At 56.1% G+C, this 22,381-nt stretch overlaps 1 protein-coding gene across 5 annotated transcripts in view, besides 2 other annotated features; it reads right to left on the bottom strand.

Moving 5' to 3' along the window:
- Positions 4,321-5,180: an enhancer, noted in NCBI's record as "H3K27ac-H3K4me1 hESC enhancer chr14:100197899-100198758 (GRCh37/hg19 assembly coordinates)". NCBI's record gives its function as "activates a minimal SCP1, AML or CMV promoter by ChIP-STARR-seq in naive H9 embryonic stem cells {active_cell/tissue: H9 hESC(naive)}" and the evidence as "EXISTENCE:reporter gene assay evidence [ECO:0000049][PMID:30033119]".
- Positions 6,502-6,621: a silencer, noted in NCBI's record as "silent region_6069". NCBI's record gives its function as "represses an Ori minimal core promoter by ATAC-STARR-seq in GM12878 lymphoblastoid cells {active_cell/tissue: GM12878}" and the evidence as "EXISTENCE:reporter gene assay evidence [ECO:0000049][PMID:35858748]".
- CYP46A1 (cytochrome P450 family 46 subfamily A member 1) overlaps positions 9,441-22,381 on the bottom strand; it is a 43,004-nt gene continuing 30,063 nt past the window's right edge. For 4 of the 5 annotated variants that reach the window (XM_017020933.3, NM_006668.2, XM_005267274.6 and 1 more), the window contains 8 exons: positions 20,782-20,932; positions 20,543-20,605; positions 18,616-18,688; positions 15,419-15,503; positions 14,676-14,786; positions 11,263-11,351; positions 10,486-10,552; positions 9,441-10,185 (listed from right to left, as the gene is read on the bottom strand). In XM_017020933.3, coding sequence (XP_016876422.1) covers positions 10,015-10,185; positions 10,486-10,552; positions 11,263-11,351; positions 14,676-14,786; positions 15,419-15,503; positions 18,616-18,688; positions 20,543-20,605; positions 20,782-20,932 — 810 coding nt within the window. In that variant the 3' untranslated portion in view covers positions 9,441-10,014. The remainder of the gene's footprint in view (positions 10,186-10,485; positions 10,553-11,262; positions 11,352-14,675; positions 14,787-15,418; positions 15,504-18,615; positions 18,689-20,542; positions 20,606-20,781; positions 20,933-22,381) is intronic. The other variant, XM_011536364.2, reaches the window with a different exon arrangement.

Genomic DNA, 22,381 nt, shown 5'->3' with positions numbered 1-22,381 from the left:
TCTTTCTTTTTTTTTTTTTTTTTGCCACAGGGTCACTCTGGGGTGCAGTGGTATGATCACAGCTCACGGCAGCCTCAACCTCCTGGGCTCAGGTGATTCTCCCGCCTCAGTCTCCCTAGCTGAGAACACAGGTCTGTGCTGCCACACTTAGCTATTTTTTGTAGGCGGGGGGGGGGTCTCACCGTGTTGCTCTGGGTGGTCTTGAACTCCGAGCTCAAGCAATCCTTGTGCTTCGGCCTCCCAAAGTGCTGGGATTACAGGCATGAGCCACTGTGCTCAGCCCAGAAAGTTTTTTTTTTTTTTTTTTTTTTTTTTTTTTTTAGATGGAGTCTTGCTGTTGCCCAGCTGGAGTACAAGTGGCGCCATCTCGGCTCACTGCAACCTCCGCTTCCCAGGTTCAAGCAATTCTCCTGCCTCAGCCTCCTGAGTTGCTAGGATTACAGGCACCTGCCACCATGCCCGGCTAATTTTTGTACTTTTAGTAGAGACAAGGTTTCACCACGTTTGGCCAAGCTGATCTTGAACTCCTGACCTCAAGTGATCCCCAAGTGCCTCGGCCTCCCAAAGTGCTGGGATTACAGGCATGAGCCACCGCACCCAGCCCAGAAAGTTTTTTGAAGGGAATAGAGGGTGTTCTAGGAAGAGAAGCCAGCAGGTGTGGAGGTGAGAAAGCCCGGCTGAAGAGTTACAGGGGTCTCTGGCAGGGCTAGAGGTGGCAGGGGTCGCTGGCAGGGCTGGAGGTGGCAGCAAGCCTGAGAAGAAGGATGATGCTTATGGCAGGGGAGGCCTCAGGGCTGGGGAAGTCAGAGGAGGCTTCCTGGAGGAGGGGGCAGATGCTGGTGCTGAGGACTAATGAGCCTCAGGAAAATGAGAGGCGGGTGGAGCAGCGTGCTGGGGCATCCTGGCAGCTCTTCCATCTGCACTGAGGCCTTTTCTGGCTCAGGGACCTGGGGAGTGAAGGCAGGAGGACGAGGCCTCCATGTTTCCAAAGGAAGCCCTATCTGTGGGTGGGGTGGGGAAGAAGGCTGTGAAGTCACAGCCTCCACGCTTCACCCCTGCACTGGCCATCGGAGAGAAAGAACTCAATCTCTATGGTATAGGCATTTGCCTGTGCTGTTCCCTTGGCCTAGGAATTCTCTGTCCTCCTCTTTCCGTGGGAAGCTGTGGCTGCCCCTAAAGGCAGCTCAGGGGCCCTGCTCCATTTTCCCTTGCCCCACACTCCACTCTGCCAACTCCGACCTCACTGTGGTCAGTGCCTAGTCCTGGCTGTGTCCCCCTCTTGGTTGGCTCTTGCTGCCCTGTCAGATAATGAACTCACCATCACTGATGGTATTCAAGCAGGGCTGCGCAGCTGCTGGGCGGGGACACAGCGGAGGGAGCTCAAGCATCATGTAGGGTTAAATGGCTGTGGGGTCCCTCCCAGGTGACCAACTTGTCCCGTTTCCCTGGGACTTCCCCTGTTTTAGCCCTGAATGTCCTCCATGGATCCTGGAAACTGACCCCCCACCAGCTTCAGACAAACCAGGACTGGTGGCCATCTTGGGTCCCTCCTAACTGAAGTTTTCTTTCCTCCTAACTGAAAATTTAATTTTAAGAGAAAAAAGAGAAAGACAAAGCCAGACCTCCCCTGGAACTGTCTCCTCCACCCCGAAAATTCCCCTCGTCCCTCCGCATCCCCTAGGTGTGATTCCAGGACAACTCTGGGGGAGGGGCGGAGGTGGAACCACGGTGCTCTGTGCCTTGGGCTGGGGTGAGGGCGCGGCAGGGAGAAAATCGGGTGCAGGTCAGCAAAGACAGAAGCCCAGTGTCTTCCCCTGCAAAGTGGGAGGAGCCCCGCCTGCCCGGCTGTGGGCTGAACTGAGGTAGCTCTGCGGCACTTGGCAGACTTCGGGTATGCACAGGTGGCATCTGTATCCCCGGGGAGGGGGTGTGACCAGGGAAGGACTGGCGTGAGTCCCTCGCTGGGCACCTCTGCTTTGCCTTGGCGCGGCAGCTGGTGTCAGGCACTGGAGGGAATGGGAGGCATGGACTGGGGGCTGACCTGTCTCCTAGGTCCCACCCCGCTGTATGGGCTTCACACACTGTGGCCCCTCTCAGTGCCTGCTGTCTGGCACACCCAGGCCCATGGGTCAATGCCAGGCAGGGCCTGTGGCCACATCTCGGGTCTCAACTCCTGTCACCCTTGCTCTGGGCTCCCTGGGATGGGATGGGATGGGCTGGGCTGATGGAGGGGCACGCTGTGGGACAGAGGGGGCCAGTGCTGACCCCCCAGGAACCCCTATGAGACTGCCAGAGTCCAACCCGGGGTTCTACAGGTGTGGGATGCATCTTGGTGCTGGACAAACTGGCACTGCAGAAAAGAGCCCCGCCACACCACCCGCCTCCCCGACAGAGGCCTCACCTTCACCCAAGTGGGCTGCGGGACCAGGGCTGGGAGGAGCCTGGTGTCAGGTGAACCCAGGTCAAATCCCAGCTCCAGCAGCCCTCCTGGGTGACGGGCACAAGCCTGGCCCCAGCCTCGGTTTCTTGCCTAGAAGGGGTGATGCCCACTGGGGCTGTGGTGAAGATTAAACCAGGGCAAGATGCCACGGAGGGGCATTCCAGCTCCCCACCCTGCGGCCATCTGTCTGGCTGCCCCTGTGTCTCACCCAAGCAGACCGCCCAGTGTCCACTGGCTGGAGCTGGTTCCCTGTGGCCGGCCACTTCCCCTTCCTGTGTCTGGCTCCAAGTCCCTTCCTGTTTTCTTTATCATGGGAACGTGTGTTGGGGATAAACAACTAGAGTCCCCTGCTCCTGAGGCCACTGCACATGTGCAAGAATGTGTGTAAGTGGATGTGTGTGTGATGCCTGTGTGTCCACTGGGACACGTACACAGGTGCAGTGGGCACGTGTGGGAGAGTGTGTGCATGCAAGGATGTGTAAGTGAACGTGTGTGATGATGCACGTGTGTGCACGGGTGCATGGCAGCGGGCACATGTGTGGGGGAGTGCGTGTGCATGTGAGAATGTGTGGGTGTGTGTGCCCATGGGAGCTTGTGATGTCCACGTGCGGGAGTGTGTCTGCGTGTCGGGTGTGTGTGTGCATGATGCGCCTCCTGCAGCTCACCCTGAAGCTGCAACAGTTTGTGTGCCCGCTGGCCCCCGAGGGCTCACCTATGTGTGATTTGGCTGGTCTCAATAGCTACTCCACGGTCACCATGATGGGGCAGGTGCTGCAGGGGCCTGAACAAGCTCTGGGGGCAGCCTCTCAGGGCCCACAGGCTTGTGGGTGGAGGGCGCTGGTGAAGGAACTGAGGTCAGGAAGGAAGGGCAGGTGGTCAGCGAGGACCTCTGAGAGTCATCCACACAGAGACCTGGGAAGTGAGGAATGGGGATGGGGATGGATAGGATAAGATGGGCCTAGCGGTGGGAAAGAGCTCGGGCACCCAGGAATGGTTCGAGATGGCCAGACAGTGGTGTGAAATCTGGTCGGGCAGGAGTTGGGGTCATTGGAAGGGCATGGGGCAAAGGGAGGGGCACACATATACTGATGCCTGTGGGGCCCAGCCCAGAGCCAGTGCCCTTCCTGGGTTCCCTGAGACACCACAGCATCATGCCACTTCCCAGGGGAGGCTCTGCAGTGACTGCTCACCCACGGTGTGCCCAGGCCCCTCCCCGGCTGCCACCGCCTGGAGGAAGGCCAGTCCCTGGGTTCCCACACTGTTTGGCCAGCCAGCACCAGCACTGGCGGGAAAGTGTCCCTGGAGGGACAGAGGAGGGTCAGTGATCAAAGGTGGAGGGGCAGCCAAGTGTGGCGGGGGTCAGGGAAGAGGCCCCGCTTCCCACCCGTACCTCCCCCACCGCTGACACCTGCTGCCCCGCACTCACCCGGCCCTGGCTGGGCCTCAGGAGTGCAGCCTCTCCCTGCTGGAGACCCCTCAGACTTGGGTTCCCCCTGTACACAGAGCCAGGACAGGTGAGGAGCAGGGAGCCTCACGTGGGGCCTTGGTGGCCACGACTTGAAGGACAATGGATGTCCACACTGGATGGCCCCAAGCTCCTGGCTGTGTGGCCTTGGGCAGGTTAGCCCATCTCGCTGGACGTGGGGTGAGGACAGAACGCATGCCACACGGCAGGGGCCCAGCCCACGGCGACGCGTCTGATGTTTGTCCACTGCCTTGGGTTCAAAGAGACACCTCCTTGTAGTCCAGGTCAGGCCTGACACACCAGCTCCACACAGAGCATGAGACACACACGGATGTGGAGACTCATCCGCACAGCCTCACACACTGGGGGCCAGACAGATACCCGGAGACAAGGGAACAGGAACACGAAGAGGTACGGAGAGACACGCAGAGACACACATCTGCACGTGGGGCTCACATGCACGCACACACGTGCACCTGCTCCAGCAAAGCTCTGCGAGCTGGTTCCAAACACCCAGGGCCCCCTGTCCAGCCCAGGCACCCCTGACTGACCGCTGCCTGGGTGGCCTTGGGCAACCCTCCCAGCGTCCAGGCTCCCAGCCAGGAAAGAAGCCCGCGAGGCGCATGCAGCTGCACCGGGTGTTCCTGGGCTGAGGGTGTGGGCAGCTCCTGGCTTCCTTGGGCTATCCCCTCACCTCTGGGGTGGCGGCCAAGGAGCCACTGTCATTTGGGAGGGGGCAGGGAGGTGATGGGGAGGCCTCCCAGGTTCAGGCTCCTGGGCTCAACAGCAGGGGCAAGGGCCCCAGGGACAGCCCACCGCACCCTCTGCCCTCTGGCCCTGAGATGGGGCAGGCCGCCACCTCTCGGAGCCTCGTCTGTAGCACAGGGGCCTGGAGGTACAGGAAAGCTGGCTCAGGGTTGGCCGTACAGCGCGCCCAACAGTTGACGCTCATGGCCAGCACAGTGTGACTCGAATCATCGGGGATCCTCACCCAGTGTCTGCCACTGGCCGATGGGCTCTTGCCCTGGGCCCAGGGTGCTCCTGTGCGGGCTGCTGCTCATGCCGGTCTCTGCCTGGCCTCGCCCTGGGCCCATGGAGCCCCATCCAGGGCAGGCTCCAAACGGGATGCAGCTAGCAGGTGTCCTGCACAGGGACCTGCAGCCTTACCCTTGGCACCCAGAATTAGCAGGCTGCCTCCCGCAGGGTGGGGGGGACCCCTCTGCCTGGCCACCCGGGGTCTGGTCCCCGCAGGGGCTGCCCAAGAAGTGAGCACCAGGTAGGTGACTATGGTTTTCTCTGGTGAGAAGGATTTACTGGGGAGAGGCTGCGTTCCAGAAGAAATGAGTGTTTTTAAAGCTCCAAGCCAAGGCAGGGCCTTGACTCTGTCCCTCCCCACCCCTGGCCCTGGATTCAGAGAAATGACCCTCCCTCCCACTGTGAGTCCCCTTCCGTCTGCCAGAAATACCCCCAGTGACTGCCGGGGAGGGTGCGGGTGGGGGTGGGGGTTATTTTTGGACATCCAGAGATGCCTGAGGCTGGAGCCCGGGGTGAGGCTGGAGCCCGGGGTGAGGTCCGGAGCCCAGGGTGAGGTCTGGGCAGATGTGAATTTAGTCACTCCAACTGACTGGACCAGCATAAGGCGCTCGGTGCCCGCTCAGCCAGGACTGCCAGGAGGGGCCGGCTCAGGCTTCTGCCAAGTCCCATCCAGAACCTTCCCAGGTGGGCAGCTAATTGCTGGGACACAGGGCATGGTCCTCTGTCTACCCACATTGGCTGTCACTGAAGCCCAGCAGAGCCACCGCCTCCAGCCCCAGCACCCAGAGCACAGAGGAAGAAAACCTCCCACCTGGCCATAGCTGGGCCAAGGCTCTCACCCCACACCCGGCAGCCCAAGGTTCCTGAAGCCACCCCCAACCCAGCCTAGGCTCCTAGGCACCCTAGAGGGCTGGGCCAGCTCAGGGTCTCCAGCCGCAGGTCGCTAGGGCAGAGGGCAGGGAGGTTTCCAAAGGTTTTCAGAGTTCAGCAGCTCAGCCCTGGGTAAGCTAGTGCCTGGGGAAGGCGGGCCCCCAGGAATGTGCAGGCTGGAAGCCTCCTGCCGGGACGCGAGCGTAGATCAAACACGTCCAGGTTTACAGAGAAGGGGACAGGCTCAGAAAAGGCTGCCACTGGCCGAGGTCACAAGAGAGGGAGTGGCAGGGCAGGGCGGGGCCCGCAGTCTCTGGAGCCGCTTAGTGAGGGCATCCCCCGGGCCTCCCCGGTGGCAGCAGCAGCCTGCACCCCGCCCGAGCCCCCCGACCCCACGCACTTCCCGCCAGAGCTGCGCGTTCCCGCCCGGCGCGCCTCCCGGCCGGCCTGCCAGCGCCCCAGACCCAGGCCCGGCTCCCGGCGAGGCCTGCGGACCCACCCGCCAAGCGACCGCTACACCCGCCCGGGGGGCCGTGCCTGCGCCCCCAGCAGCTGCCAGACCTCACCGCGCCTCGGGAGCCCCATCTGTGAAATGGGGGTGGCTATCCCACCCCTACGCCGTGGCCAGAGCTTGCCACTGCCGACCCCCGGCCTCCCCGCTGACCCCGCTTCCGGGAGCGGGGCTGGCGTCCCCTCGGCCCACCCACTCCGCGCCTCGGGACCCTCCGCGCCTGGGGCCGGCGCCGCCCGCTCGGCCTGGGCGGGAGGGCGAGCCCGAGCTCTGCGCCAGCGCGCCACCGTGCGGGTCTTCCGGGGACTGCGCCGCCTTGCCTGCAGAAAAGCCCTCCCTTCCCTGCAGGTGACAATGACCAGACTCACAGTGCCAGAGCCCGACCCTCGTGTGGACACTAATTCCCCTCCAACCCTAGGAAGTGGGTCCTATTATTTGTCCTCCCTTACAGATGGGGAAACTGAGGCCCAGGCAGGTGGGGGCAGGATTTGACCCCAGGTAGCCTTGCTGCACAGCCTTGGGTTTAATCCTATCCATCTTGCCTGGGTCCCGGGGGTCAGCTTCACCTGGACTGGCGGCACCGGCCCATGCACATTGGGATCTACTGGGAGACTTAAAAAGAAAACAGTTGGGCCAGGCGCGGTGGCTCACGCCTGTAATCCCAACACTTTGGGAGGCCTAGGAGGGTGGATCATCTGAGGTCAGGAGTTCGAGACCAGCCTGGCCAACATGGTAAAACCCCGTCTCTACTAAAAAAATATATTAAATACAAAAATTAGCTGGGCGTCATGGCACATGCCTGTAATCCCAGCTACTCCAGAGGCTGAGGAACCCAGGAGGCGGAGGTTGCAGTGAGCAGAGATTGTGCCACTGCACTCCAGCCTGGGCAACAAGAGTAAAACTACATCTCAAAAAAGAAAAAAGAAAAAGAAGAGTTTCTGGGCCCCACCCCAGAGGCTGATTCACCTGGCCCAGGTGGCTTCCCCATGCAGCATGGACTGAGAGCCACCTGCCCCTCACAGAAAGCCCAGTCTATGGAAGAGGAAGTGGCTCAGAAAGGAAGGGCAGGATGGCCCCACCGGCAGTGACAGTGGGGCTGGGGGGTTCTGGCTCTGCACTTCCCAGCCATCTGGGATTCCTGGGGCGTGCAGAAGACAAGCCCAGGCCTGCAGGGATAGGGCATGCTGAGCCTGTGGAAGGCCACTGGATGCAAAGGGCCATGGGTTCAAGTGCTGACTCCACTATGGCCCAGCTGTGGCTCTGGCCTGGACTTCCCCATCTGTGAAATGGGGCATAGTTGGCTCCTGTTTCCTGGCAGGATTTGAAGAAATCATGGTGTGAAGGCTCAGGCTCAGCAACAGACAGATATTTGCCAAATCAGGGGATGGTCAAGCCGGGAACTTGAAGTCTCTGGAGGGAGCCGATCCCTCCAGGCCCCTCCAGACAATGCTGGGTTGCATTGCTGCAGTACTGAGGCTTGGTGGCCTGTGGCCCTTTTAGATGGACTGTGAAGGAGGTGCTGTACTGTGGGGACTAGGCCCAGCCACAGCAGGAGGCAGAGGGCATGGACTGTGGGAAGCGTGGGCAGGTGTGTGGGTACTGGTGAACCTCAGAGACTCAGAGAAGGGCTGCAGAGGGCGGAGTGGGGGGCACAGCAGAGCAGGTCGGGGAACAGTGCCCAGCTGGGGGCTTGGGAACAGGACGCTGGGAGACAGCAGCATTTGGGGTGGCTGTGGGAAGGGGCTGCTTCTGGCCAGGGATGAGTTTGACCAGGTGGCTGGAGGCTGAGCCCGGGCATACCATTCTCAAAGTGAGTGGTGAGTTTGGGGGCCCCTCAGACAGCGAGCTGGAAATGGAGAGGGTGGAGGGTGCAGCTTGATGATGGGCTGGCCAGGTGCCCACGTGGTCAGGCGAGGTGCTAGGGGAGCAGGAGGACCCTCGCTCTGCAAGAACGCTGCAGTTCTCGAGGCATCCCGGGGCCCGACCCTCTGCCCAGAGGCCGGGGTGTGCATTCTCAGGGCCCACCTGGGCTGGGGAGAGGGGCAGGCTGGGAACCCAGACACTTGTCTCCTCCATTCTCAGAGCCACACCAGGCCCCACCTGTACTGAGCATGTCACTCCCGCCCCTGAGTCTCAGTTTCCTTATCTGCTTGATGGGACCATCCCTTGGAGCTATCATTCAAGACTGCGGCAAGGACCGAAGGAGGCCAACAATGCACATCACGGGCCGGCACACATCTGTGCCTTCCCTGTTTGGGGAGGGGGTCTTCCCAGGGGGCACATGGCCCAGGCAGGGGAGAGGGCAGCTTTTTCTTTTTTTTTTTTTAGACGGAGTCTCACTGTCGCCCAGGCTGGAGTGCAGTGGTGCGATCTGGGCTCACTGCAACCTCTGCCTCCCCGGTTCAAGCGATTCTCCTGCTTCAGACTCCAAGTAACTGGAATTACAGGCACCCAACCATCATGCCCGGCTAATTTTTGTATTTTTAAGTAGGGACAGGGTTTCGCCATGTTGGCCAGGCTGGTCTTGAACTCCTGACCTCGGGTGATCCTCCCACCTTGGCCTCCCAAAGTGATGGAATTACAGGCGTGAGCCACCGCACCGGGCCATGAGGGCGCTTTTTCTCTCTGCACAAAGACAAGCTCCCAATGGCCGAAGGAGAAACTCAGGGCAGGACCTCTTCCTTGGATGAGCTCAGAGGACACGGCCCTGGAGAGGAAGGGACGGCTTCTCCCATCACCACCACGAGGGATGCAGTCTCACCTGCCCTGCCCCCCTGCCAGGTCAGGAGGGCAGCAGGTGCCCACAGGCACGGGGCTCAGCTCCACCAAGCTGCTCCCAAGAGAGGCCCAGGGGCCTCTCTGACCTCTCAAATCCAGCTCTCAGAGCCAGTCACCCACCCAGGCCCAACCTCACACAACACCCAGGGGCATGGCCGTGAATACAGCACAGGGAACAGGCTGGTAACCTGGGGCAGTCTCTCCCAAGGCAGCGTTGTCAGGGCATCTGCGGGGCATCTGCGGGCTGGTGGCTTCCAAAGCTGTGCCAGCCTCCGCATCTCCCCCTTTTCACAGACGAGCAAGCTGAGGCGAGAGCGCATGGCCTGGTTCCAGGTCATTCATGCAGTCAACACACATTTATTGAGCATCGACTCTGTGCCGGGCCCTGGGTGGGCACAGGGGGCTCAGAGACAAATCACACGCAGACCCTACCCTTGAGGCGCTGACAGCCTGGCAGGGCAATTGGTCACGTCAACGGACACTCACGATACAGTGTGGTCAGTGTGGTGTTAGAGGTAGCACAGGTGACCGAGGGAGCACAGAGGAGGGGCCCCTGCCGGCGGGGGGTGGCAAGGAGGGCTTCTTGGAGGAGGTGACCCCTGAAGAGGGCTTTAGGGAGTGAGCAAGAGTTAGGGTGTCTCGTCTGAGCAAGTGGCCTGTGCAAGGGCTCAGTGGTAGGGACAGTGGTGGTGGCTGGGAGTTGGGCAAGGGCCAGTCCAGGAAGGGCCATGGAGTCCGCAGGCGACAGGGAGCGCTGAGGGGTGTGAAGCAGGCGGTCGGCAGAGGGCCCGCTGGAAGCCAGCGTGAAGGGTGGCCCAGGGGACGGGGCAGGGGAGAAGGGTGGGTGGCCGTGGGCAGCAGAGGTGGGCGGGCACGGCCCTTGCCCGAGGAGTCTCGTCCTGCCTGGAGGCCCCCTCAGCAGGGGGGTGGTGGGGGTGCGGGCTGCCAGCCGCGGGGCCGCAGGGTGCACAGCACGGGGTCCAGTGGCTTGAGTGTGGCCTGCTCCTGCAGCCCGAAGCGCTGCCCGGGCACCAGCCGGAACTCCAGCCTCTGCAGCAGCTTTGCCATGACCACCTTCACCTCCATCTGGGCCCAGCGGGCAAAATGAGGAAGGAATGAAGGAGCAAAGACAGAATGAGTGAGTGAATGAGCAGCAAATGTCACAGCCGGCTCTCCTCCTGGAGAGCCTGTGAGAGCCTGGGGAGCCTCCTGTTTTGCGCTCTCCTCCGTGCAAAACACAGCCAGTCCTCTGGGTCTGGCTCCGCTGGGTCCCGAGCCCACAGCCCAGCAGCCCCAGAGCAGGGGTTCGGAGATGCTTCCCGGCTCAGGATGAGCCCCCACCCCTGCAGCTACTCCTGGGCAGAACCACAGCCCTGCCCCTCCTACCTGAGCAAACTGCTGCCCGATGCAGGAGCGGTGGCCCAGGGAGAAGGGGAAGTAGGTGAACCGTGGCCTGCAGGGAAAGAGAGGAATCACGAGGCCAGCAGCCCCAGGCGTCCCCACAGGAACAACATAAGGAAGACAGTAGTTAACCCAGGTCTGGATGAACACAGACTTTGAGCCAGGGGCTGGGCACTTTGCATGCAAAGCATGAACCGCTGACTCTGCCGAGGGCTGGATCTGCATTCTTTTTCTCCTCCTTTTACCCTCCTGGAAGGAACTGCTGTTGTCCCCATTTCACAGATGGAGAAACTGAGGCTCAGAGGGGCAAAACAACTCACTCCAGGTCATAAATTTACATCCAGCTCTGGGCAGAGCCTGGATCTGAACACTCAGGCAGGCTGTGGAGTCCAGCTCTTCCCACCATGGCTTCGGTACCTTAACGCGTTGACCCCCACAGCAACTTGCAGATGCAGCCACGGATGGTCCCATTTCTCAGACAGGAACCTCAAGGCTTGGGGAGGTGAAGTCACCCAGCTTCCCAGTATTTGGTGCTGCTTATGAGCATGAGCTTTAGAACCAGACTGAGCTGGGGCCAGACCCCTGCTCTGCCACTTGGGCAAGTTACTTAACCTCTCTGAGCTGTGATTTCCTCCACAACCACCTCACAGGGATCTGGAAGGCTATGTGGGCTGAGTGGGTGCCTCTGGCTCAGACCAGAGGCCGCTGTGTCTGTCCTTCTCCCGCCAGCCCCACTCATGGGCAGCTCCAGGAGGGACTTACTTGGGTGCTCCAGGGCCGAAGCGATCGGGGTTGAAAGTCAGCGGGTCCTCAAAGTATGTGTCCATCCGCCCCATGACATAGGTGCTGAACTGCGGGCAAAGGGTCCGCTCATCTCTGGTTCCCAGGTTGTTCCCCTGGCACCTCTTGAGCCACTGAGGCCACCCAACAGGGCTACTCAGAGCAGAGTGGGTCCCACTCTCCTCCCCCCATGTCTTCACCCCTCATCTAGGTTGGTGTCCATTGCACTGGCCCCCTAGAAAATCCCTTAAGAGGAAGAGCGGGGACAGTTGACTGTGCCAGCTGGGCGTACTGCGTCATCCTGTGCTGGGCTCAGCCCTGTAGGGGAGCCGTCATTGTCCCCATTTTACAGATGAGGAAACTGAGACCCAGAGAGAGGCTCAGTGACTCACCTGAAGTCACCAGGCAAATAAATGGCCAAACCGGGATTCAAACTCAGATCTGACTCTGTGAGGCCAACTTCCTCTAGATCCCGAGAACTGTTATATTCAGTTTCTCTTCAACTCAAGGCCTACTTCAGCAGGGGTGGGAGTGGAGGAACTGCAGACCCCACCAGCCTTCCACGTGCACGTGTGGTGCCTCCTGAGTGGGGCTGACGCTCACTCTGTGTCCTTGGCCTCCAAACACTGGGACAAAATCTCCTCCTAAGCCTGTTCCACCCCTGGCTCTCTGTGCTGGGGGTCAGTGCAGCAGAGGGTGCAGGGAGCCCTGGAGCTGAGCTCCAGCAAGTGTGTGGGAACATCCGGTGTGGGGGCTGGGTTTAGGGCACCTAAGATGTGCCGGGGATTGTTGCCAGACACATGATGTACGTCATCCTACTGATGCTCACCACTCCCCCCACCTAACAAAGAGGAAGCCGAAGGCCTGATGGAGATGACCCAGCCAGCCAGGAGCAGAGGTGGGGTTGGAGCCCAGTCTGCCCACTCAAAGCCCACAGGGTGGCACCCCCAGGCTGAGAGTGAGCCACAGGGCTTCCCCTGCTGGCTGTAAGGGGATCTAAGGAGATGGCTGTTAAGGCACAGTGGTATTGGTACAGGAGCATTAAAAAAGAAAGCTTGGCAAAACAGATGGCAGAGTGGCCACAGATGAGGCTTGGATGGATGCTGGAGGAGGCAGGGCAGAACCCTGGGAGGAGAGGGGCTGGGAGCAGGGACTGGGGCTCCTCCTTCCTCACAGGTAAAAATAAAAAGGATCCTGTCATGGGCTGAATTTTGCCCCCCACAAATCCTCATATGTTGGAGTCCTAATCCCCAGTACCTCAGAATGCGGCTGTGTTTGGAGACAAGGTCTTTAACGAGGTAATTAACTTAAAATGAGGTACTTAGGATGGGCCCTAATCCAACCTGATTGGTGTCCTTATAAGAGGAGATTAGGACACAGACACACAGAAGGAAGACCATGTGGAGACACAGGGAGAAGGTGGCTGTCTGCACACCAAGGAGTGAGCCCTCAGAAGAAACCAACCTCCAACACCTTGATCTCAGACTTCCAGCCTCCAGGACTGGGAGAAAATAAATTTCTGTTGTTTAAGCCAAAGTCTGTGGCACTTTGTTACAACAGCCCTGGCAAGTCAATACAGAAAGGTCCCTACCTTGAAACTACACACAAAATCAATTCCAGGTAGTTACAAGCTCAACTTTGAAAAGAAAAATGTAAAACTGAGGACAAAGTAAGTGAATGTCCTGAACTCAGGATAGAGAAGGATTTCTTAAACAAGACAAAGCAAAAGAAGTAATTGTTAAAAATATTAAGACATGCAGATCATCAAAAACACATTAATGAAGACAAGCCACAAAGATGACAAACATACCAGACAAAAGATTAACACGTGAGTTTTTAAAAGAAAGCTCTAGGGCTGGGCGCGCTGGCTCACGCCTGTAATCCCAGCAATTTGGGAGGCCGAGGCAGGTGGATCACTTGAGGTCAGGAGTTTGAGAATAGCCTGGCCAACCTGGTGAAACCCCATCTCTACTAAAAATACAAAAATTAGCCAGGCGTGGGGGTGTGCACCTGTAGTCCCAGCTACTCGGGAGGCCGAGGCACGAGAATCGCTTGAACCCGGGAGGCAGAGGTTGCAGTGAGCCGAGATGGCGCCACTGCACTCCAGCCCGGGGGACAGAGCAAGACTCTATTTAAAAACAAAATAATGAAAATAATAGTAAATAAATGTATGCCGTAAAAAATAATAAAATAAAATAACGCTCTACATAGCAATACGAAAAAACACACTACCCCAAAAGGGAAACTGAGCCCACATCTCAGAGACAGAGAAAGCAGGGTCAGATGCTCACGCTTACTAGTTAGTAATCAGGAAAGCATAAATCAAGACCACAGTGAAATACTTTTTTAAAAACACATATTTGGATGGCAGCAGATACAAAATCGGACCATGCTAAGTGCTGGAGATGATGAAGAACAGCAGGTGCTCTCTCTCACCACTACTGGGCATCCAAGTTGGTGCAGCCACTTTGGAAAACAATGTGGCGTTCGTTTGTAAAGCTGAACAGTCAGGGGTCCTACAACCCAGCCCTCTCACTTCTGGGTAAATGTCCGAGGAGCTGGCTTGCACACTGTTCCTGGACATGCGGACAGAAATGGCATCGTTGCTGTGGTGCTCGAGATAGGGACAAACTGGACACCTCTCAAATGCCTGTCACCTGAGAACTGATCAGCGATGGTGGTTGTCCTACGGCCTTGTGGAGAAACCTACACAAATCTTACCAACTTTATACTGAGTCAAAAAACAAGTCCTACAATATATTACTGCGTGAATGCACACAGGCACACACACACACACACACACACACACACACACACGGGAATGGCAAACACACAATTCAGATTAGTGATTCCTTGTCAGCGGAGCAGGGAGTGACTATATCCTAGTTTCCTGGTTTGGGGGTGGGTTTAGGGGCTATCATACATGAGTAAATGCCTGGATGAATGGATAAATGAACAAGTAAGCAAACAAAGAGACACAAAATAAAGGAGGTCTGGGGAGAAAGCCGAGAGAGAAAGGGCTGTAAAACGTGAGGAGAGAAGGAACCAGGACAAGTTTGGGTCAACTGTGAAACTGGGCAATTTCCATATCTGCTTTTCACCAGCTGTGTGACCCCAGGAAAGTGACCTAACCTCTCTGAACCTCAGTGTCCTCAGCTGTAAATGGGGCACCTCCCTTCCAGAATGACCCCCTGTAATCTTCTGCTGGACAGTGTGAGGAGGGGAAAAAGCCCTCACAGGGCTATGGTGAGACTCCATGAGAAAGACCAGGGCAGCCAGTGAGGCCCGTTGCAATGATGGGAACAGGGCCACAGGCTCCCCTGGTGAGTCCCAAATTCACCACCATTGGGGCAAGCAGCCCAGCCCACCCCAGGACCCCCAGGGCCTCCACCCACCAAGAGCGGGGTGTTGCCGGGGACTCTGACCCCATCAATCAAGGTCTCCTCTTCCAGCAGGCGAAAGGTGCCCCATGCTGGTGGGTACAGCCTCAGCGACTCTTTGAGGACCTAGAGAAGCCACAAGGGGAGATAACAAGGAGAGTCGGGAGAGGCCACAGATCATGCCGGCCGGCGGCATGCCTGGGACCCCTGTCTTTCCCACCCACAGGCTGAGTGCATACCCTCACCCTGGCCTGGGTCCCAGGCCCCTGGGACATCAGCCTCACCGTCACGTGACAGATGGAGAAACTGAGGTCCAGAAGGAGAAGGGAGTGTGCAAGGCCACAATGGCAGAGCTGGGACCAGGAATCAGGGGTCCCACCATTCCAGAGAGCCACAGCAGAAGCTGCAAGCCCTCCTGCTGTGCGGCGGCAGCATGGAGAGGCGCTGCTGAGCCTGACTCCACCAGGGGAAGCTTAAGGATCTGGAACCCCAGCCTAGCCGGGAAGCACAAATACGGCACCATTTACTAAAGGGCCAGTTTCCAACCTAAGTTGAATACTGGGGTGACCTGGGGAGCTCTTTGACTCTGATGTCATTAGTCTGGGGCAGCCTGGGCCTCAGGATACTTTAAATCTTCCGGGGGAGGACCCTATGCAGCAAAGTTTGAGAACCACTGTCCTGAAAGGTCCAGGGAGGAAGCAGGCATGATGACATGATCACCCACATCCGCCCAGAAGCTTCCCTCCTACTTCCCACACCTGGGACAGGTACTGCAGTCTCCCCAGGTCCTCGAAATCCAGGTACCTCTTAGAACCAATGACCTCATCCACCTCGGCCTGCAGCCTGTGGGGTAAGACAAAGACAAGTTCGTCTCCAAAGGGAGCCTGTCCCCGACTTACTTAGCTTTAAGAAGGGGGCACTGGAAGGAAGCGTGAAGAGAGACGCATGGGGCTCCCCACTCACAAACACTGTTACTTGTAGCTTTATTTTTTGAGACAAAGTCTTGCTCTGTCGCCCAGGCTGGAGTGCAGTGGTGTGATCTCGGCTCACTGCAACCTCCGCCCTCCCCCCAGGATTCAAGCAATTCTCCCGCCTCAGCCTCCCAAGTAGCTGGGATTACAGGCACCCACCAGCACGCTCAGCTAATTTTTGTATTTTTAGTAGAGACAGGGTTTCACCATGTTGGCCAGGCTGGTCTTGAACTCCTGACCCCCAGGTGATCTGCCCGCCTCAGCTTCCCAAAGTGCTGGGATTACAGGCATGAGCCACTGTGCCCAGCCCAAAGACTGTTAAAGAGATCCAGCGATGGCCACATCCAAAACAGTGCCCAAACCACTGGGAACTATGTTGCAGGGGCCCTAAAACATCCACCCTTTGTGTCTGATGTTTGGGATTGGCTGTAGGAAACCAGCATGGCCAACATGGTGAAACCCTGTCTCTACTAAAAGTACAAAAATTCGCCGGGAGTGGTGGTGGGTGCCTGTAATCCCAGCTACTTGGGAGGCTGAGGCATGAGAATCACATGAATCTGGGAGGTGGAGTTTGCAGTGAGCAGAGGTAGAGCCACTGCACTCCAGCCTAGCAACAGAGCGAGACTCCGTCTCAAAAAAAAAAAAAAAAAAGAGTGGATCTGGACCACTTCATACTCATTAGGATGGTTCTCATCCCAATAAACACAAAAGTATTGTAGAGGATGTGGACAAATCAGAAAGAACCCTTGCGCACTGCTGGTGGGAATGTAAAATGGTTCAGCCGTTATGGAAAACGGTATGGTGATTCTTCAAAAAATTAAAAATAGAATCACCATATGATCCAGCAATCCCACTTCTGAGTATAAACCCAAAACAACTGAAAGCAGGGACTTAAAAAGATATTTGTGTACCCATCCTCATAGCAGCATTATTCAAAATAGACAAACGGTAGGAGCAACCCAGGTACCCATGGACAGATATATGAATATGCAAAATGGGACCGATGCTTACAATGGAACATTAGTAAGTCTTAAAAAGGAAGGGAGTTCTGCCGGGCACGGTGGCTCATGCCTGTAATCCCAGCACTTTGGGAGGCCGAGGCGGGTGGATCATGAGGTCAGGAGATCAAGACCATCCTGGCTAACCCGTGAAGCCCCGTCTCTACTAAAAATACAAAAAAAATTAGCCAGGCATGGTGGCGTGCACCTATAGTCCCAGCTACTTGGGAGGCTGAGGCAGAAGAATGGCGTGAACCCGGGAGGTGGAGCTTGCAGTGAGCTGAGATTGTGCCACTGCACTGCAGCCTGGGCGACAGAGTGAGACTCTGTCTTAAAAAAAAAAAAAAAAAAGAAAAGAAAAAAAAGGAAGGGAGTTCTGACACATACTGCAACATGGATGAACTTGGAGGACATTATTCGAGTGAAACAAGCCAGTCACAAAAAAGACAAATACTGTATGAGTCCACTTACATAAGTCACCTAGAATAGACAAACACACAGAGACAGAAGTGGAATGGTGGTTACCAGGGATGGGGAGGCGAGAACGGACAGATTTTCAGTTTGGGAAGATGAAAAAGGTCTGGAGACGGAGGCCAGGAGCAGTGGCTCACACCTGTAATCCCAGCACTTTGTGATGCCAAGATGGGTGGATCACTTCAGGCCAGGAGTTTGAGACCAGCCTGGCCAACATGGCAAAACCCCGTCTCTACTAAAAATACACAAAAAAAAAAAAATTAGCCAGGTGTGGTGGTGCACACCTGTAATCCCAGCTACTCTGGAGGCTGAGGCAGGAGAACTGTTTGAACTGGGGAGGCGGAGGTTGCAGTGAGCTGAGACTGCACTCCAGCCTGGGCAACAGAGCAAGACTCTGTCTCAAAAAAGTAAAAATAAAAATAGTGGAGGGGGATGACATTCACAATGTGAATGCCCTTAATGCCACTAAACTGTGGGCTTAAAAACAATGAAAATGTAAAATTTTATGTTATGTATATTTTACCACAATTTTTTAAAGAGTGGATTTGGGAGGAGGTTACAATGAGGTAGGCAATGCTGTGATAAGGCTCATGGGGAATAAAAGCCAGCTGTGCAACCAGGTGACAAAAAACACGGCAAAGCTGCTCATGCGTAGGTGAGAAGGTGCTGAACAGATACTCAGCAGTTAACAGCGAAGTGCCGCTGGGTGGGTGGGGTGCCATGGGTGGGTTTATTATTATTATTATAGCTTTTCTGCTTTTCCCAAAATTTTTATACGAAATGCTTATTACAATTATACTTATTTTTAAACCCTAGAAAGATTGTATATTTTCACACAATCTTTCACTTCCGCCCTTATATGCTGCTGATGACTAATAATTGTAATTGAAGGCCTGACCCCACCTCCCCAGAGCTCCCACCCAGCCTGTTGGTGCATTCAGAGAGCTTTGACCCTTGCTTCAGCCACTCCATGCAACTGTCCCAGAGGGAGCCTGTTTGTATTTAAGGAAACCAATGGCCCGACTCAAATACCACCTCCCCAGGGACACCCTCCTTTGTCTTGCCATCAGAAGACAAGCACGCTCTTGGCAATTTAGCAGGGATTCTGCTCCATCCTCACTGCCAGGCCCTGGCCAGGCACTGGGTACGCTGTGGGGAGGGAAAAAACCACGGTCCCTGCCCTCCTGGAGCTTCTGGTCTCATGGCTGAAATAGACATGAAACAATCCCAGGGAAACACACTCATGAGTCGGGAGCAGGCTCGGAGGGGAAACGTGGGGTGGCTCCTTTAGGGATCTGAGAAGCCCTTTCTAGAAGAGGAGTGGGAGGAGGAGGTGTGTTCTCCAGGGGAAAAGCAGGGAGAGCGCTTCCAAGAGAGGGAACAGCATGTGCCAAGGCCCAGGGGAAGCAGGGCATGTTGAGGGGACTCAACCATGGGAGGTGGGGGCAGGTGGCCCTCAGGAACAAGAAATCAGACAGACCTCTTTGCCAGCCCCAAGAGCAGCCCCCATACCTTGCCACGATCTCTGGCTGGCGAGACAGCTCCATCACTGTGAACGCCAAGTGGTTGGCAGAGGTCTCGTGACCTGTGGGAAGGGAGGACGGTGGTTGCTCCACATGGGGCCACAGGATGAAGGAGACAGTTTGTGCCTGCCTCTATGCCAGCCAGTGCTGGCATGTAAATGGCATGTGCCCCCAGGCATCTGGCTCTAAAAGCCCCTTCCTTGAACCATCGTCTAGGTCTCACTTGGCCCGGGGAGGTGCTCACCTCCATTTTGGAGAAGAGAAAGTGGAGGTGGAGAGGAATGGGTCTCTGTGGTCACACAGCAGGGAGAGTGGGGGGGACACAATTCAAAGTCCGTGAGCCCAAGGCCTCGCCTTCCCAGGATGCAGGGTGCACACAAAAGCCCCCCATGACCCTGAGGTTCTATGAGGGGGTGGTGGACATTTCGGGAGGCTGATTTTGAGTTCTGGCAGGGTCTGGCCAAGGTGATAGAGTCAACCCCTCCAAGCTGGCCTGGGAGGGAACAGACGTGAGTTTACTCTAAAGGAGCCAGGGGGCTTGAGGGGCCTGCTTGAATGCAGGAGAAGGGCCTATAACTTACAGCAAGTCAGAGCTGGGAAGCAGGGCCCAGCTCCTAGGGTGTGGAGGTGGGCCATTCACACAGCCAGCGGAGCCCTCAGCCTGGGAGCAGGGTGGGAGAACACAGCAGCCCTGGCCCCAGCTCTGCATCGCGGGCTGTGACTATAGGAGGCCACTTCCCTCCTCGGCCTCAGTTTCCTCACAGGCAAAGGGAAAGACAGACACAACCCACCGTGCCCTCGGCCAGTCCCCCATAGCATCTGGACGCAGGGCTCAGGGATAGACTGGAGGGACGAGACGGGATTAATAAACCCTCTCTGGAAGGCTGGATAGAAGCCTGGAGAGCTCCTCAAGGCCCCCATTTTACAGATGAGGAGACTGAGGCTAGGTCTGTCCAGAAGCCTCATCCAGGACCTGGGTTCCCAGCTGCAGGAATGAGGACCAGCCATTGGTTCCGCAAGTCCTTTCTATCCATTGCAGGGAATGGCGCCCTGCAGCCTTGCTTTAACACTGGCCGCTTCTAATCTCCTGGGGCATCTGCAAGTGCTTCTCCCACCTAAAGGGCCTTCCTCCATGCCTTTCACCTGCAGACCTCTTCGTCCATCAGTATTTGTCTCTCTGTCTTTCCACCTCCACCAATAGGCTAGAAACTGTCCCTCATCTTGTTCACCTCCATCTTCCCAGTGCCCAGTGTCAATCATTTGTTCGTGTATTTCATTCAATGTTCATGGGATTCCCTACCACACTGGGCCCCAGGAGAACAGAGGTGAGCAAAACAACCTGACCCTTCGCTCATCAAGTCTGGTGGGGAACAGACGTCACTCAATTACCACAAATAAATAAACAGCTTAACACAATGAGATGGGTGGTGGGGAGGAGCCCCAGGCCTGTGGTCAGCTTCTAGCTGAGTGCCTGAGGCAGCCTGTGCTTCCCTGGGGAGGAGGCATGCGAGGGCTCACTGACGGCTGAAGAGGAGTCTTCTAGGTGAAGAACCATGTTCAGGAAATATCTGATGAGCAAATGAATGAAGCTGCTTAGCATCTCTTCTTGTGCCAGTCTAATGCAGGCCTCCCCACAAATTCTGAGTGAGGGGATGCCTGCATTCACACAGCCAAGCTCTCTGGAGCTGACAGGCCAGCTTCACACATCCCCACAATTGCCAGCTGCATTACCAGGTCAGAGGCCCCCAAGACAGCTAGGAGATGGGGCTTCTGCTCCCTTCAGCCCAGCCCCCTAGCCCTGCGGTGAGCTCTGCTCAGATAGCCCAAAAAATCCCAAAGAGTTGGGTTTGAGGGATCCATGGTCCACAGCATTTCTGCAGAGCTCCGGGCCCTTGGCCACCGCCAAAGCTACAAACCAGCAATGAAGAAGGTGACGAAGTTGTCCAGCAGACCCTCGTCGTCCTGGGCTCCCTCTTCAGCTGAAAAACAAGGAGAGTCTCAGTTCCCAGCAAATCTTTGCTCCCTTTCCCCATGGCTCATAAAATAACTAACTGTGTTTCTCCTCTTAAGCCAAACAGAGTCAGTGGCGATGTATCACCTGGGGAACGTCCTGGCCCACCCCGCCCTCCCCAGTCCGCAGAGGGGGCCCTTGCACCTTTCAGAATCTGTGTGAGGATGTCGGCAGGAACCTCCTCGCCCCTCTTCAGGGCTTCCCGGCGGCGCTGGACCCAGTCCCTGCCCACCTGGCGCAGGAAGCGAATGCTCTCCCGGACCTCCCGGAGCTGCTTCCTCTTCCCTGGCAGGAACTAAACAAGAGTTTCAGCTCCAGATGGCCAAGTGAACACGCATGTTCCCTCTCCCCTCTCCCCCACCACCCCGAAATGACGTTAGCGGCACTGGCAAGCTGGGAGGTCAGTAGAATGTGAGAAATTCTAGAAAAGATGAAGCAGCCAGGGAGACTGGATCAAGATGGCAGACTGAGCCCAGGCCTCAGCCTCCCTTTCCTGCACCAAATCCTTAGCAGTGGTGGGCGGGATGGCTTAAAACATCCACGTGGCCCTGCAAGGTAAAAAGGGACCCCTGATGAGTGGAGGCAGCTAGGCTTGCATCGAAGGAAGAAATCCCAAGCAGTGGGAAGTAGAGTGCGATCAACTGCCAAAAAGACGGGGCGGCATTGGCGGCTGCAAGCTCAGGGGCCGAAGTCCCAGGGAACGGGAGGGGGCCCTGAGATGAACTCAGCTATCACCTTTCCCCTTTCTTCCTTCTTCATGACTGGAATAAGGAGGTGATATGTGGAGCTGCAGCAGCCATCTTTTTAAAAATCTATATATTTTAATTGATACATAATAATTATACACACATATGGGGTACATGTGATATTTTGATACATGAATACAATGTGCAATGGTCAAATCAGCATATTTAGGATATTCATCACCTCAAACATTTATCATTTGTGTTGGAAACATTTCAAATCTCCCTGTTTTTGAAATATACAATACCTTGCTGTTAGCTATAGTCACACACTGTGCTACTGACACTAAAACTTACTCCTTCTACATAACTGTATGTTTGTACCCATTAACCAACTTCTCTTCATCCCCCCACTCATCCTTCCCAGCCTCTAGTAACTATCATTATACTCTTTACCTCCATGAGATCAACTTTTTTAGCTCCCACGTATGTGGGAGAACAGGCAATATTTGTCTTTCTGGTCTTGCCTTGTTTCACTTAACATAATGATCTCCAGTTCCATCCAGACTGCTCCAAATGTAAGGATTTCATTCTTTCTTATGGGCAAATAGCATTCCATGTGTATATACATCAAATTTTCTTTTCTTTTTTTTTTTTTTTTGAGATGGGGTTTCACTCTTGTTGCCCAGGCTGGAGTGCAATGGCACGATCTCAGCTCACTGCAACCTCCATTTTCCAGGTTCAGGTGATTCTCCTGCTTCAGCCTCCTGAGTAGCTGGGATTACAGGTGCCCATCACCATGCCTGGCTAATTTTTTGTATTTTTAGTAGAGATGGGGTTTCACCATGTGAAAGGCTGGTTTTGAACTCCTGACCTCAGGGGATCTACCTGCCTTGGCCTTCCAAAGTGCTGGGATTACAGGCATGAACCGCCACACCCAGCTACACCAAATTTTCTTTATCCATTTATCTGTTGATGGATGCTTAGGTTGATTCTATATTTTGGCTATTGTGCAGGTGTTCCTTTGATATACTGATTTTTCTTTGGATAAATACCCAGTA

Source organism: Homo sapiens, chromosome 14 (genome assembly GCF_000001405.40).
Source record: "Homo sapiens chromosome 14, GRCh38.p14 Primary Assembly".
NCBI classification, from domain to species: Eukaryota; Metazoa; Chordata; class Mammalia; order Primates; family Hominidae; genus Homo; species Homo sapiens.
Note: the sequence above shows the minus strand (reverse complement) of the source record. Positions and strands in the feature narration are given on the sequence as shown.